This window comes from Homo sapiens, chromosome 20, assembly GCF_000001405.40.
Source record: "Homo sapiens chromosome 20, GRCh38.p14 Primary Assembly".
Lineage (NCBI taxonomy): Eukaryota > Metazoa > Chordata > Mammalia > Primates > Hominidae > Homo > Homo sapiens.
Window position 1 is genome coordinate 23572955 of NC_000020.11, and position 17636 is coordinate 23590590.

General features: G+C 42.0%; 1 pseudogene, besides 1 other annotated feature; it reads left to right on the forward strand.

The window, feature by feature from the left end:
- Positions 10691–13556, forward strand: CST9LP2 (cystatin 9-like pseudogene 2; annotated as a pseudogene).
- Positions 16579–17183: an enhancer, noted in NCBI's record as "NANOG-H3K27ac-H3K4me1 hESC enhancer chr20:23570170-23570774 (GRCh37/hg19 assembly coordinates)". NCBI's record gives its function as "activates a minimal SCP1, AML or CMV promoter by ChIP-STARR-seq in naive and primed H9 embryonic stem cells {active_cell/tissue: H9 hESC(naive and primed)}" and the evidence as "EXISTENCE:reporter gene assay evidence [ECO:0000049][PMID:30033119]".

Here is a 17636-nt window from a genome sequence, read left to right on the forward strand (position 1 = left end):
CTTCCCCTAGGTTTTTTGCCATATATTTGTTCCTAATAGTCTCTAACAATCCTTTACATTTTTGTATTATCAATTGTTATGTCTCTGTTTTTGTTTCTGATTATATTTTTTTGAGCATTCTCTCTTTTTTCCTTACTCTAGATAAAGGTTTGCTGATTTTATCTTTTCAAAAGAATAACTTATTGTTTTGTTAGTCTTTTATATTTTTTAAATTCTCAATTCTGATATTTGTTACTTCTTTCCTTCTACTAATTTTGGATTTGGTTTATTTCTGCTTTTCTAATTTCTTGAGCTGCATTATTAGGTTGAAATATTTGAAATCTTAATACATTTTTGGTATAGGCATTTATTGTTATAAACTTGCCTCTTAGAACTCCCTTAGCTGTAGATTTTGATATGTTGTGTTTCCATTTTAATTTGTTTTAAGTAATTTTTAAACTTCTGTATTAATTTCTTTATTGATCAATGATCCTTTAGAAATGTTGCTTAACTTCCATGTGTTTATATAATTTCCAAAGTTCCTCTTGTTATTGATTTCTAGTTTTATTCCATTGTGGTCAGAAAAGGCACTTGATATGATTTCAACTTTTTGAAATTTATTGAGATTTTTTTTGAGGCCTAACATATGGCCTATCCTGGAGAATGTTTCATGTGCTGATAAGAATGTGTATTCTGTAGCAGTTGGATTAAATGTTCTCTAAACATCAATTAGGTCTACTTGGTACTCTAGAGTGTCTTTTAACTTTGAATATTTTTGTTGATTCTGTCTGGCTCATCTTTCTGATTTTTTCTGGCTCATCTTTCATCTTACTGAAAGGGGTATTAAAGTTCTCTACTATTATTTTATTGTAGTCTATCTCTGTGGCTTTATATCTATTAATGTTTGCATTATATGCTTGGGATATCCAATGCTGGAAGCATAGATATTTATAGTTGTTATTCCTTTTGTTGAATTCACCCCTTTATCTTTATATAGTAAACTCCTTTTTCTCTTTTTTACAGTCTTTGACTTAAAATATATTTTATCTTGTGTAAGCTTAGCTACTTCTGCTCTTTTTTTTTTTTTTTTTTTTTTTTTTTTTGAGATGGAGTCTCACTCTGTCGCCCAGGCTGGAGTGCAGTGGAGCAATCTTAGCTCACTGCAAACTCTGCCTCCCAGGTTCATGCCATTCTCCTGCCTCAGCCTCCTGAGTAGCTGGGACTACAGGCACCTGCCACCACACCTGGCTATTTTTTTGTATTTCTAGTAGAGACGGGGTTTCACCATGTTATCCGGGATGGTCTTGATCTTCTGACCTCGTGATCCACCCACCTCAGCCTCCCAGAGTGCTGGGATTACGGGTGTGAGCCACCATGCCCAGCCCTACTTCTGCTCTTTTTATGGTTTTCATTTGTGTGGAAGATCTTTTTCCATCCCTTCACTTTCAGACTGTGTCCTTACAGGTGAAATGAGTTTCTTGTAGGCAAAATATAGTTGGGTCTTTATCCTTTATCCATTCAGTCACTCTATATCTTTTAGTTGAATAAGTTAGTCTACTTACATTTAATGTTATTATTGACAGGTATGGACTTACTGCTGCAAATTTATTATGTGTTTTTCATTGTTTTGTAACTCCTCTCTTTCATTCTTTCTTACTGTATTCACTTGTGGTTAAGTAATTTCCTCTCGTAGTATCTTTTCATTTGTTGCTTTTTATTCTTAGTGTATCTATTGTAGGTTTCTGCTTTGTGGTTACCTTGAGGATTCCAAAAGATTCTCTTATACATATAACAAGTTACTTTAAACAGATGAGAACTTAACTTTGATCACAAAGAAAAGAAAAGAAACAAAGGAAAGACTAAAAACTCTACAATTTAACTCCATCAACTCCCCGTTTTGACTTTTTGTTGTCTTAATTTATATCTTTTTTATTGCCTATCTCTTAACAGGTTGCTGTAATAATTTTTGATAGATTTATCTTTTTTTTCCTCATACCAGATATATGAGTAGATTACTCAGCACAATTACAGTATTAAAATACTCTGAATTGTCTATATATTTACTTTTACCAGTGAGTTTTATATCTCCAATAGCTTTCTTTTTGCATGTTATCATCCTTTCTCTTCAGATCAAATACATCAATTTAGCATTTCTTTTAAGATGGGTCTAATGGTTAAGGATTTTCTCAACTTTTGTTTGGGAAATGCTTTATCTCTTCTTCATGTTTGAAGGAAATATTTGCTGATTACAGTATTTTTATTTGGCAGTTATTTCCCTTCAGCCCTTTGAATATGTAATCCCACTTCCTCCTGGCCTGTATGGTTTTTGCTGAGAAGTCTGTTGCCAGACAAATTGGAGCTCCTTTATGGTTTTTTTTTCCTTTCTTCTTTTATTTTGCTGTTTCTAGAATCCTCTCTTTGTCCTTGACATTTGAGTATTTGATTATTATATGCTTTGAGATGTGTCATTTGGGTCAAATCTGTTTGGTGATCTGACCTTCTTTAACCTGGATATTTATCTTTCCCTTGATTTGGAAAAATGTCTGTTATGATTTCTTGTTTTAAAAATTTTATTTCAATAGTTTTTGGGGAACAGGTGGTTTTGGTTTACATGGATAAGTTCTTTATTGGTGATTTCTGAGATGTTGCTGTACCCATCACCCAAGCAGTGTACCCTGTACCCAGTGTGTAGTCTTTTATCCTTCACCCTCCTCTCACCCTTCCCCCAACTTCCCAAAGTCCCTTATATTATTCTTATGCCTTTGCATCCTCATAGCTTAGCTCCCACTTATAAATGAGAACATGTGATACTTGGTTTTCCGTTCCTGAGTTACTTAACTTAGAATAACAGTCTCCAATTTTATCCAGGTTGCTGCAAATACCATTATTTCATTCCTTTTTATGGCTGAGTAGTAATTCAAGGTCTATATGTACCACATTTTCTTTTTCCACTAATTGGCTGATGGACATTTAGGCTTCTTAGATATTTTTTGCAATTGTGAATTGTGCTGCTACAAACATGCATATGCAAGTCTCTTTTTCATATAATGACTTCCTTTCCTCTGTGTTGACACTCAGGAGTGGAATTGCTGGATCAAATGGTAGTTCTACTTTTAGCTCTTTAAGAAATCTTCATACTGTTTTTCATAGTAGTTTTACTAGTTTACATTCTAACCAGCAGTGTAAAGGTGGTCCCTTTTCACTGCATCCATGCCAACATCTATTTTTTTTTTATTTTTTAATTTTGCCCATCCTTGCAGATGTAAGGTGGTATCATACTGTAGTTTTGATTTGCATTTCTCTGATAATTAGTGATATTGAGCATTTTTTTCATATGTTTATTGGCCATTTGTATATCTTCTTTTGAGAATTGTCTATTCATGTCCTTTGACCACTTTTTGATGGGGTTTTTTGCTTTTGTCTTGCTGATTTGTTTGAGTTCTTCATAGATTCTGGATATTAGTTCTTTATCAGATGCACAGTTTGTGAACATTTTCTCCCAGTCTGTGGGTTTTCTATTTATTCTGCTAATTATTTCTTTTGCTGTGCAGAAGCTTGTTAGTTTAATTTAGTTTAATTAGGTCCCATCTATTTATTTTTGTTTCTGTTGCATTTGCATTTAGGTTCTTGGTCATGAACTCTTTGCCTAAGCCAATGTCTAGAAGAATTTTTCCAGTGTTATCTTCTGGAATTTTTATGGTTTCAAGTCTTAGATTTCAGTCTTTGAACTATCTAGAGTTGATTTTTGTATAAGGTGAGAGATGAGGATCCTGTTTCATTCTTCTACATGTGGCTTGCCAATTATCCCAGCACCATTTCCTGAATAGGGTGTACTTTATCTACTTTATATATATTTTGTGTATATAAAGTAAAAACCTTTGTCAAAAATTAGTTGGCTGTAAGTATTTGGCTTTATTTCTGAGTTCACTATTCACTTCCATTGGTCTACGTGCCTATTTTTATATGAGTACCATGCCATTTTGGTAACTATAGCCTTGTAGTATAACTTGAAGTTGGGTAATGTGATGCTGCCAGATTCTTTCTTTTTGCTTAGTCTTGCTTTGGCTATGTGGCCTCTTTTTTGGTTCCATATGCATGTTACAATTTTTTTTGTAGTTCTATGAAGAATGATGATGGTGTTTTGGTGGGAACTACATTGAATCCGTAGATTGCTTTTAACAGTATGATCATTTTCATAATATTGATTCTACCCTTCCATGAGCATGGGATGTGTTTCCACTTGTCTGTGTCATCAATGATTTCTTTCAGTAGTGTTTTGCATTTTTTCTTGTAGAGTTCTTTCACTTCCTTGGCTGGGTATATTCATAAGTATTTTATATTTTTGCAACTGTTATAAAAGGGATAGAATTCATTATTTGATTCTAAGCATGGTCTTTCTTGGTGTATAGCAATGCTACTGATTTGTGTACAATGATTTTCTGTCTTGGAACTTTACCAAATTTATCACATCTAGGGTCTTTTTAGATGAATCTTTAGAGTTTTCCAGATATACAGTCATATAATCAGTGAACAGCAACAATTTGACTTCCTCTTTACCAATTTGGATGCCCTTTACTTGTTTCTCTTGTCTGATTGCTTTGGCTAGGACTTCCAATACTATGTTGAATAGAAGTGATATAAGTGGGCATCCTTGTCTTGTTCCAGTTCTCAGGGGAAATGCTCCCCTTAAGCAACGGGGAAGCATTTCTCAACTTTTCCCCATTCAGTATAATGTTGACTGTGGGTTTGTGATAGATAGTTCTCATTACCTTGTCCCTTCTAGGCCGATTGTGCTGAGGGCTTTAATCATAAAAAGATGGTGAATTTTGTCAAATGTGTTTTTCTGCATCTATTGAGATGATCATATGATTTTCATTTGTAATTCTGTTTATGTGGTGTATCACATTTATTGACTTGTGTATGTTAAATCATCCCTGCATCCCTGGTATTTCTTTGTAGAGATCTTTCACCTATAGAACCTCCTCATAGCATAAATATGGAACTAAGGAGTGGTAACCGGCTTATTATGGGTATTATCTTTTTTAAATGCCACTGGATTTGGATTTGGTTAGCTAGTATTTTGTTGAGGATTTTTGCAACTCTGTTCATCAGAGATATTGGTCTGTAGTTTTGTTTTTTTGTTATGTCCTTTCCTGGTTTTGGTATTAGGGTGATACTGGCTTTACAGAATGATTTAGGAAGGTTTGCCACTTTCTCTTTCTTTTGGAATAGTTTCCGTAAGATTGGTACCAATTATTCTTTGAATGTCTGATAGAGTTCAGCTGTGAATCCATCTGGTCCTGAATTTTTTTTTCATTGGCAATTATTTTCATTACTGTTTCAATCTCGCTACTTGTTATTGGTCTGTTCAAAGTTTCCATTTCTTCCTGATTTAATCTAGGAGGATTGTATGTTTCCGGGAATTTATCCATCTCCTCTAGATTTTGTAGTTTGTGTGCATAAAGGTGTTCATATTAGCCTTGAATGATCTTTTGTATTTCTGTATAGTGGTTGTAATAGCTCTCATTTTATTTCTAATTGAGCTTTTTGGACCTTCTCATCTTTTCTTGGTTAATGTCATTAATGGCTCATCAATTTTATCTTTTCAAACAAGCAGCTTTTTGCATCATTTATCTTTTGTATTTTTTGTTTGCTTCAATTTCATTTAGTTCTGCTCTGATCTTTGTTATTTATTTTATTCTTCTGGGTTTGGGTTTGGTTTGTTCTTGTTTCTCTATTTCCTTGAGGTGTGACCTTAGATTGTTTATTTGTTCTCTTTCAGACTTTTTGATGTAGGCATTTAATGGTATGAACTTTCCTTTTAGCACCACTTTTGCTGTATCCCAGAGGTTTTGATAAGTTGTGTCACTATTATTCAGTTCAAAGAATCTTAAAATTTCCATCTTGGTTTCATCATTTACCTAATGAAGTGCAGATTATTTAATTTCCATATATTTTTATAGTTTTGAGAGTTTCTTTTGGATTTACTTTCCAGTTATATTCCACTGTGATCTGAGAGGACACTTGATATAATTTTGATTTTCTCAAATTTATTAAGACTTGTTCTGTGACCTAGCATGTGTTCTGTCTTGGAGAATGTTCCATGTGCTGATGAAGAGAATGTATATTATGAAGTTTTTGGGTAGAGTGTTCTGTTAAAATCTGTTAGGTTCATTTGTTGGAAGGTATAGTTTAAGCCCATTTTCTCTTTGTTGACTTTCTGGCTTGATGACCTGTCTAGTGCTGTCAGTGGAGTACTGGAGTTCCCCACTGTTATTGTGTTGCTATCTCATTTCTTAGGTCTAGCAGTAATTGTTTGATAATTTGGGAACTCCCATGTTAGATGCATATATATTTAGGATTGTGATATTTTCCTATTGGATTAATCCTTTTATCATTATATAATGTCCTTCTTTGCCTTTTTTCACGATTCTTGCTTTCAAGTCTGTTTTGTTTGGTACAAGCTATTCCTGCTCGCTTTTGGTTTTCATTTGCATGTAATATCTTCTTCCACCCCTTTACCTTAAGTTTGTTTAAGTCCTTATGTGTTAGGTGAGTCTCTTGAAGACAGCAGGTACTCGGTTGGTGGATTTTTATTCATTCTGCCATTCTGTATCTTTTAAGTGGAACATTTAGTTCATTCACATTCAGTGTTGGTATTGAGATGGGAGGTCCTGTTCTGTTCATTATGCTAGTTATTGCCTAAGTACCTTGATTTTTTTATTGTGTTATTGCTTTATAGGCCCTCTGAGATTTATGCTATAATCAGGTTCTATTTTGGTGTATTTCAAGTTTTTCTTTCAAGATTTAGAATACCTTTTAGCATTTCTTGTAGTACTGGCTTGGTAGTGGCAAATTCTCTCAGCATTTGTTTATGCAAAAAAGATTTTATTTCTCCTTCATTTGTGAAGCTTAGTTTTTTGGATACAAAATTCTTGGCTGACAATTATTTTGTTTCAGGAGGCTAAAGATAGGACCCCAGTGCCTTCTGGCATGTAAGGTTTCTGCTGAGAAATCTACTGTTAATCTGATAGGTTTTCCTTTATTGGTTACCTGATGGCTTTTTGTCACAGTTCTTAAGATTATTTCCTTCATCTTGACTTTATATAACCTGATGACTATGTGCTAGGTGATAATCTTTTTGTGATGATTTTTTTCAGGTGTTATTTTATCTTCTTGTATTTGGATGTCTAGATCTCTAGCAAGGGCAGGTAAGTTTTTTTCACATAGTCTCTCAAATAAGTTTTCTAGACTTTTAGATTTCTCCTCCTCTTCAGGAACACCAGTAGTTTTTAGGTTTGGCCACTTAATATAATCCAAAGTTTCTTGAAGCCTTGTTCTTTAATTTTTTTTTTGTCCTTGTCTGATTGGGTTAATTTGAAAGCTCTGTCTTTGAGCTCTTAAGTTCTTTTTATTTTTTATTTATATATATTTTGTATTTTTTCCATAAGTTATTGGGGTACAGGTGATATCTGGTTACATGAGTAAGTTCTTTAGTGGTGATTTGTGAGATATTGGTGTACCCATCACCTGAGCAGTAAACACTGCACCATATTTGCAGTGTTTTACCCCTCATCCCCTTCTCACTCTTCCCCCCAAGTCTCCAAAGTCCATTGTATCATTCTTATGCCTTTGTGTCCTCATAGCTGAGCTCCCACATGTCCGTGAGAACATACGATGTTGGGTTTTCCATTCCTGAGTTACTTTACTTAGAATAAATAGTCTCCAATCTCATCCAGGTCACTGCAAATGCTGTTAATTCAGTCTTTTTTATCGCTGAGTAATATTCTATTGCATATATATACCACAGTTTCTTTATCCACTTATTGATTGATGGGCATTTGGGTTGGTTCCACTATTTTGTAATTGTGCATTGTGCTGCTATAAACATGCGTGTGCAAGTATCTTTTTTGAATAATGAATTTCCTAGGTGTTATTTGTGCTTCTTGTATTTGGATGTCTAGGTTTCTAGGAAGGCCAGGGAAGTTTTTCTCAATTATTCCCCAAAATATGTTTTCCAAGTTTTTAGAATTCTCTTCTTCCTCAGGAACATCAATTATTCTTAGGTTTGGTCATTTAACATTATCCCAGACTTCTTGGAGTGTTTGTTTATATTTTCTTATTCTTTTGTCTGTGTCTTTGTTGGATTGGGTTAATTCTAAGACCTTTTCTTCGAGCTCTGAATTTCTTTTTCCTACTAGTTTAATTTTGTTGATGAGACTTTCCAGAGCATTTCACATTTCTAAGAGGGTGTCCAAAGTTTCCAAAATCTTTTATTGTTTTTTCTTTAAACTATCTATTTTCTTGAATATTTCTCCCTTGACTTCTTGTATTGTTTTTTGGATTTCCTTGCATTGGGCTTCTCTTTTCTCTGGTGCCTTTCCAATTAGCTTAATAACTGAATTCCAGAATTCTTTTTCAGATAAATCATGTATTTCTTCTTAGTTTGGATCCATTGCTGGTGAACTAGTGTGATTTTAGGGGGAGTGTTAAAGAGCCTTGTTTTGTCATATTACCAGGGTTGGTTTTCTGATTTCTTCTCATTTGGGTAGGCTCTATCAGAGGGAAGGTCTAGGGTTGATGGCTGTTGTCCAGATTATTTTGTCCCACAGGGTGTTCACTTGATGTAGCCCTCCCCTCTTTTCCCATAAAAGAGGGAAGTGTTTGTTCCTGTGAGCCGAAATGCAGTGTTTGTTGTCTCTCTTCTAGGTCTAGCCACCCAGCGAGTCTACCAAGCTCTGGGCTGGTACTGGGGTTGTCTACACAGAGTCCTGTGATGTGAACTGTCTATGGGTCTTTCAGCCGTGGATATCATCACCTGCTCTGGTAGAAGTGGTGGGGGTGGGGGTACATTGGACTCTGTGAGGGTTGTTAGATTTAGTGGTTTAATGCTCTATTTTTGTGCTGATTGGCCATCTGCAGAGAGGTGGCGCTTTCCAGAAAGCATCAGCTATAGTAGTGTGGAGAGGGACCAGCGGTGGGCAGGGCCCTAGAACTCCCAAGAGTATAGGCCCTTTGTCTTCCTCCACCAGGGTGGGTAGGGAAGGGCCATCAGGTGGGGGCGGGGCTAGGCGTGTCTGCGCTCAGACTGTCCTTGGGCGGGTCTTGCTGCGGCTGCTGTTGGGGATGGAGGTTAGACTCCCAGGTCACTGGAGTTGTGTACCTAGGAGGATTATTGGCTGCCTTTGCTGAGTCATGCAGGTTGTCAGGGAAGTGGGGGAAAGCCGGCAGTCACAGGCCTCACCCAGCTCCCACGCAAACTGAAGGGCTGGTCTCACTCCCACTGTAACCCCCACAATAGCCCCAAGTCTGTTTCTAGGTGGTGGGCAAAATGAGCTTGAGAACTTGCCCCAGGCTACTCACCTCCAGGCTGTGAAAGAAAAGGGCTTGGTTCTTCCCTTGCCTGTGGAGTCTACACACCGGATTTGCACCCTTTCCTGAGTTCTGGCCAGGAGGCTTCTCACCCATTCAAATTGTTACACAGTTCAGCTAGAGATTTCCTTCTTCCTATGGAGTCTTGCCCCACCACTCTTCTGGCAGTCTTCCCAGTGGATCCCTGTGGTGTCAGGCAGGAATGTCCTACTTGGGGGGCCCAACAAGCTCCCAGGGTCTTTCTGCTGCTTCCTCTACCCCTGTATTTCACTCTGCTCTCTAAATTGACTCAGCCCCAGGTAAGGTAGGAAACTTATCTCACCAACAGACCTTCAGTTTCTCCATTGGGGGTGTGAGTTCAAGAGAGGAGGGTTTCCCTTTCCCACTTTTGCAGTTGGAGCACTCATAGTATTTGAGGTGTCTCCTGGGTCCTGCAGGAGCAATTTGCTTCTTTGAGAGGGTCTGTGGATCCTCTTGGGATTGCTGGATTGTTCTTGCAGTCAATCTGGAGCTAGAATTCACAGCGTGAGCTTCCACACGCTGCTCTGTTCAGAGCTGTAATCTAGTCCTGTCTCCTGTCTGCCATGATGATCCATCACAGATTTTGTTTTAGCTGTTTAAATAAATTTATTAGGTTTATAAGTAACAATATGGATAGATCTCAAAATCAGGATTTGGTTTTTCTTATTTATTTATTATGCTTTACGTCCTGTGATACACGTGCAGAACATACAGTTTTGTTACACAGATATACATGTACCATGGTGGTTTGCTGCACCCATCAACTCGTCATCTAGGTTTTAAACCCTGCATGCATTAGGTATTTGTCCTAATGTTCTCCCTCCCCTTGCCCCCCACCCCCTGACTGGCCCTGGTGTGTGATGTTCCTCTCCCTGTGTCCATGTGTTCTCATTGTTCAATTCCTACTTGTGAATGAGAACATGTGCCACAACCAACTTTTTTACTGTTGAGTTTTGAGAGTTTATTACATATACTAGATACTAGTTGTCTGATGGATATATGATTTGCAAATATTTTCTCCCACTCTGTAGTTTGTCTTTCCATCCTCCTCACATGGGTTTTCACTGAGCAAAAGCTTTTAATTTTGATAAGAAATAATTTATCAGTTTATTATTTTATGTATCATGATTGGAGGTTTAGTCTAAAATGTATTTTCTGTGCATGGTGTTTTCATATGCATATTAATTTATATTCTATGTCTCTAGAGGTCTGCCCTTTTTCATTACTAATATTTTTATTTCTTTATCTCTTTTTCCTTTCCTCTCTCTTCTTTCCTGACTCTGCCAAAAAACACAAGAACAATGTAGACCAAATACTCATGGCTGAATACTTCCCTGCCATGGTGGAATGTGTGTGTCACACACATTCCACCTGCAGAGCATGGACTCATATGCCTACAAGCTGGTGCATGTTCTGAGTTCCTAGAGGAAGAAGGTTGGTAACCACATCCTTTCCTTCCCAGCCCTCCCTTACTTGCTACCAATAATGGATAGGGGTGTGGTGTCTAATTAAGGAGTCCTGGTTTATCATTTGTAGTCCATAACAAGGTAAAATTTGAGGTCTATAGTATAGTAAGGTATAATATCTAGTTTAGTAATTTTAAGTTTTTAGAAAACATTTTACTTTGAAACATCTAAGAACTTATTCAAATCTAATTAATAGTGCTTAAAACATTTTTTCAATCTTCATCTTTTCTATGACATTCAACTGAAGAATGACTTCAAAATAAGGACTACTAAAGAGATGAAGCTACTGAGTTAAAAAAAATATATGGACTAAAAATGTCCATAAAGACAGATTGAGAAGTACTTCAAATTTTATGTCAAAGACATAAAATGACAACAGATACTTAGAAAAATGGGAAAACTGGAGACAGAGTGAGAGAGAGAGTGAGAGATGCAGATTCAGAAGCAATAAGGAACCCCCATCAGTCCTGAGAGGCTGCTGTGCGGTCAGTTCCTCTTCTCTGATTTCCACCTGCTCTGAGCTCCTTGGTGGGTCTGCACTTAATGAACTGAAGGGTTTTTTACACTCTTTCTCAGACCACAGCTTTCAATCCTAAATGATTTTCTTTTAATCAAGTCACTACAGAATGCAATCAGGAATGCACTGTTTATCTGGGCTGCAGGTATGGACAATGAAAATGATCTCCCAATGGAGCACTTTTGGTTAGGAGGGAGAAGTCGGATTGCTCTTCCTCCTTCAGCACTAAGATCCTGCAAGAAGGGCAGAGGGACTCCAACCCTGCACAGAGCTTAAGCCTCTGGAAAGACTCTGTGCAATGCCCTGGCTGGTTCTCTGCCCCCTGCTCTCTGGGCTGGAGCCTTCCACGTGGCTTCCTGAATCTGGCAGTCCCTGAGTCAGTGTGGGGTTTGATAAGAATGTATGAATGAGGAAGGAGGATATGGAATGGAAAGAAATAGAATTGAGTGGAAAGAAGAGCAAGGAAAATTTCAAAGTGCATTTTGCAATGGGGCAGATGTTATTTCTTGAAGCCATTGTCCCAAGGATGTGTGCCTGTGTGTAATGGGAGCACTGTGTGTCATTTTTCTTGCTGGAGGTCAGGTGAAAGTTTTGACAATATGCTGTAGATGAGGCTCCCTCTGTCCCAGGGCTGAGGTTACCCTGAAAACTCTTGGAGATCCAACACCCTCCCGGGCATGTGGCGCCATCCTCTGGGAATGCAGTTGCAGGATCAGATGCCTGCTGAGAGTGAAGCTGTGTCTCATCGTGGGAGAGGTGGAGGTGAAGCTGGAGACAGGGGATACATTAGTGGGGTCTGACTCAGCCTGTGTCTGCCCCAGGACCCACCATACACACCTGCTCTTTGCTCTTAATTCCTTAATCTGGAGAAGGTTCCCCAGATTTTACCTCCAGTGAACTGATGCCAGGCCCATGAGTGAGCTCCCTAATGCAGTAGCATGTTTGGGCCTCTCCCTACAATGACAGCATCTTCACTTTCAGGTATTTAGGTGCAGAAAGAGGGGCGTGTTCACTGTAATCTCTCTGTACATTAGATAGAGTCCAAGACCGTATTCTCAATGGAGCTACTGCTGGGGAGAACTAGGTGTGGGAAATTTGAAGACAACATTGATAACTGCCCTTTCCAAGAAAGCACAGAGCTGAACGATGTAAGACAGGGCAACATCTTCCCTCCTGGACACAGCTGTGGATGCCACATAGGGTGTGGTATGGGCACAGGTGCAGCTGACAAAGAGACTTAGAGGAGTTAGCCTGCAGCAGCCTCTACCAGGCTGCCCTGCTTTTGCCTTAGTGGGGAGTGCAGAGGGGAAGGCAGCCACGGGTCCACTTGTAGGCTCCCGGCCAATCTGAGTTTCCTGACTCTGCCCTGTCATGCCACTGCAGTGGCCTGTACCCAGGGCACATGGCCTTCAGACTGCTCTTGTCCGCCTGGGGTCCCAGTCTCCTAAGCCTGAGTAGAGGCTGTTTCCTCTCTGGTCTTCCTCCCCAGTCTTCGTCTGCCTTCTGAAGAAAGAGCGTGGTGGGGATCCAATATCACCTCTTTCTGAGTGTGCAGTTCTCAGGGTCCCCCTCCCCTAATCCAGAGCCTGAGGCAGGTGGAGGCTGAGGAGGGACCCCACTGCCCTCCCTCCCTCGTCCTGCCCTGGCCCCTGCTGAGCTGTAATGCCTGCTCCAGAGGATAGGGACAGGGGACAAGGGGAAGCCCAGCTCTGGGGACAGCCTACCTAGGACAGGTGGGCCCCCTCATCAAAGGATTAACTAATAGGTTAAACATTGGCCTACATCTGAGAGCAGCTCTGGGGAGACAAAGTGACTTTTGTGCTCTTGGGGGTATGAATCACACAGGCCAGCCTGTGGAGTCCCAGGAGGCCACTGTCTGGGAAGTGGGTCCTAACACAGGTTACCTTGAGTGAAGAGGGAGCCCCAGATCTGGAAGCAGCTAAGAAATGTCCCAGGAGTGGGGCTGGATGGCCCCACATGAGGATGAGAGCCGCATTCAACTGACAGCTTGGGAAATGTGCAAGGTGGATATTGATCCTTTGCTCAGAGTGGGAGCCATGAGCTTCCTGAGCCCCCTGTCCCCAGTGCCTCGCCCATGCTTTCCCTCCCAGATGCTCACCTGCTTCTTCACTTTTAGGACCCAGCCCTGGGTAATGCAGTGTGAGCTCCTGAACAAGACCTGCTCAGAGGGGTTCCCCTGATTGCTTCTCACCCACAGGCCCAGGCTCAGGCTGCCCTCACCTCTGTGGACACTGGCAGTTCTCCAAAGGTGGCTCTGCTGTAGCTGACCAGCTCCATATTTGTTTGTTCTTTTCAATTTACAATTCCCTTGGATTCATGACGGGGCATGCAGATGCTGTCAAAGTAAATTCCACACTTCTCCAGGTTCCTCATGTAGAATATAGGTCATTAAACATCAGCATTTCCAGAAGCTTTGTGTGCTAGTGTCCTGGAGAGAGGGGCCTGGGCAGTTGATGGAGTTATTCTCAGCAGGGCAGCCTCGTGGGCTCTCAGGGGTAAGTTTTTATTCCCTGTTGGGCCTCCTGAGTGGCTTCCAGAGGCACAGCTAAGGTGCGTCTGAGCCGCCATCTCAGGGCCCCTTGCAGGCTGCAGAGGGGCAGTGAGGGTGGCCTCCCAGCGCACGGGATGTGCACATGGAGCAGGACAGGGACTCGGGAATCCCACACAGCCCATGTGACATTTGCACTAATGCTCAGAGTGCATGTATACCTAATGTGTTAGCTGAGAATAGCCAGCAGCTGTGGACACCCTGTCCACATCTCCCAGATCAGGCTTCGGCATGCATTCTCTGTAAAAATTTAAGGAGTAACTATTTTGGTCTTTGTAGGCTTATAGTCACTTTCTCAGCTACCCAGCACTGCCTTTGTATGTTGAAAGAAGCATAGACAGTGCATAAACAAATAAGAGCAGTCGTGTCCCAACAAGACTTTGTCTACACATGGAGACAAGCAGACTGGGCTGCTTTTGGCCCTCGGGTCATGGTTGCCAACCCCTGACCTAACAGGCCTTCTGAGTGCAGCTGCCGCTGGTATCCCAAGTACCAGTACATGGGTAGCTCCCAACTCATGCACCTGCGACGTGCCCAGATTGGCTAGTGGCTTTCTCCGTGTAATTGGAGCTCCTCCAGCAGAGCAGGTACACCCCTGTGGTGTGGGAAAGGTCAAGTCTGAGAGTCACACTCCTTCTTCAGGAGGGAGGCAGGTGAATGTCCCAGTCTCCCAGCCTCTGGGCATCCAATTCAGAGGTGCATGTCACATGGTTCTCAGAGCTCCCCAGCAGAATAAACACCCCCGGCCCCAGTGTGACCCATTGATAACAGACACCTTGCGTTTCCCCTTCTCTGTCTCCCTTTCTCACATGTGTCCCCTGGGATCACCTCCAAATAAACTACCTGCACCCACCAGTCTGTGTTTCAGGGTCAGCCTGGGGGGACCCAACACAAGACCTGTGGTGCGTTTGGACCATCGTCTTGGGACTTGTCCTCCATAGATGTGCTGGGAGGGTGGCCCCTCGATCATAGGCGTTCAGGCAAAGCAGAGGGGAGAGCCAGGCCTGGAGACCTCCCTGCGGCCTGCCAGCACTGAGGTAGGCACAGCTGCTGCACTTTGTCCCATCTGGCCTCTGGAACCCACACAGCCCTGCCGTGCCTTGCTCCAGACTTGAGCAGATTTTCCTCTGAGACCCTCCCACCACCTCCCCTGTCTGCTCCCACCCTTGGTCCTTCTCTTGACCCTGACTCCATCAGCAGAAGGAAGCTCAGAGGAGGTGCTTTATCCACAGTGATTCCAACAAGTGTCTTCCAAACAATCCACCCCACTCATTTCATTCAAGAACTATTTCTGAGGCAGCTCCCAGGACAGGGTCTCATGGGGAGTGAGCCCACTGTGGGGGTTGTCCTGGCTCCCTCCTTCATGAAGCAAGGGGAGAGGAGCCCACTCCAAGGCACTGGCCCTTGGGAGGATGCACTAATTCCTGCCTGACTCAAGTTACATGTGTGGGTCTTTTAACAGTTTTCTATACCTCCTAGAAAGGAATATTCACGAAATATAGGATTTTTCCTGGCTACAAATATATCTCCAGGGTTCAAAGCAGTGCATGACTTGAACTGCGTGCTTGGATTTTGCATGCAGACAGGGCTAGCATTGAGGGCTCTGTTGCTTTGGAAAGATCTCTCCTCTCTCACACTTACCATCAATTCCTACTCCTGAAGTTGGCCTCCTGGTCACTTCTCTTTCTGGAATTTTTATAGTGAAGAATCAGGGAATCGCAGCCATGAATGCTGTGTATGGTCACAAGGTGGGTCTGCAAGTAAATCCTGTGCCAGAGGCCAAGCCAGGGACATGCTGGGAACACCTAGTCAGTAGCATCCCTGGGCCTCAGCCCCAGGAAGGAAAAGGAGCATAGATTGTAGTGTAGTGTCACAAGTTTCCTCCTTCTCTGGAAATGTGAGTTCTCATCCAGGTCTGCATCCTCCATCTCCTAGTCCCTCATCCTCTGTCTCTGCCTCATTTACATGGAGATGACAATTTTTGCTTGGCTGCCTTCAAATGGCTACAGCTGAAATCAAATGAAATAGTAGAAGAGAATACTAAATATAAATCTGTTCAAAAATGTGTTAGATATGCACTTCCTTATTCTGTACTGCAACCACTTCCTTGTCTGCTAGGGAGACATCTGGACATATTCCTCACCTTTCCCAGTGTGTCAGGGATGAAACATAGCCCTGGGGACATTATAGGACTGAACACAAAGTAACAACAATGTGGAAAACTTGGGTAGGGACTTCCACACTTCCTGTGCCTCTCTTCTCGAGACAGAGCAAAGGCAGATGAGGTGGATCCTGAGGAGGAGAAGTGGCTGTCAGTATATATTCACAGGGACCACATCCCAGCTGTCGGTGGTTCTAGCTCTGTGTCTTGTGTCTGGGTGACTTCCACCAATTCCCAGAAGAGACTAAGAATCTCTGGATAGGACTCTCGAGCCAAGATGGCCGAATAGGAACAGCTCCGGTCTACAGCTCCCAGCGTGAGCGATGCAGAAGACGGGTGATTTCTGCATTTCCATCTGAGGTACCGGGTTCATCTCACTAGGGAGTGCCAGACAGTGGGCGCAGGCCAGTGGGTGCGCGCACCGTGCGCGAGCCGAAGCAGGGCGAGGCATCGCCTCACCTGGGAAGCGCAAGGGGTCAGGGAGTTCCCTTTCCGAGTCAAAGAAAGGGGTGACGGACGCACCTGGAAAATCGGGTCACTCCCACCCGAATATTGCGCTTTTCAGACCGGCTTAAAAAACGGCACACCACGAGACTATATCCCACACCTGGCTCGGAGGGTCCTACGCCCACGGAATCTCGCTGATTGCTAGCACAGCAGTCTGAGATCAAACTGCAAGGCGGCAGCGAGGCTGGGGGAGGGGCGCCCGCCATTGCCCAGGCTTGATTAGGTAAACAAAGCACCAGGAAGCTCGAACTGGGTGGAGCCCACCACAGCTCAAGGAGGCCTGCCTGCCTCTGTAGGCTCCACCTCTGGGGGCAGGGCACAGACAAACAAAAAGACAGCAGTAACCTCTGCAGACTTAAATGTCCCTGTCTGACAGCTTTGAAGAGAGCAGTGGTTCTCCCAGCACGCAGCTGGAGATCTGAGAACGGGCAGACTGCCTCCTCAAGTGGGTCCCTGACCCCTGACCCCCGAGCAGCCTAACTGGGAGGCACCCCCCAGCAGGGGCACACTGACACCTCACACGGCAGGGTATTCCAACAGACCTGCAGCTGAGGGTCCTGTCTGTTAGAAGGGAAACTAACAAACAGAAAGGACATCCACACCGAAAACCCATCTGTACATCACCATCATCAAAGACCAAAAGTAGATAAAACCACAAAGATGGGGAAAAAACAGAACAGAAAAACTCGAAACTCTAAAACGCAGAGCGCCTCTCCTCCTCCAAAGGAATGCAGTTCCTCACCAGCAACGGAACAAAGCTGGATGGAGAATGATTTTGACGAGCTGAGAGAAGGCTTCAGACGATCAAATTACTCTGAGCTACGGGAGGACATTCAAACCAAAGGCAAAGAAGTTGAAAACTTTGAAAAAAATTTATAAGAATGTATAACTAGAATAACCAATACAGAGAAGTGCTTAAAGGAGCTGATGGAGCTGAAAACCAAGGCTCGAGAACTACGTGAAGAATGCAGAAGCCTCAGGAGCCGATGCGATCAACTGGAAGAAAGGGTATCAGCAATGGAAGATGAAATGAATGAAATGAAG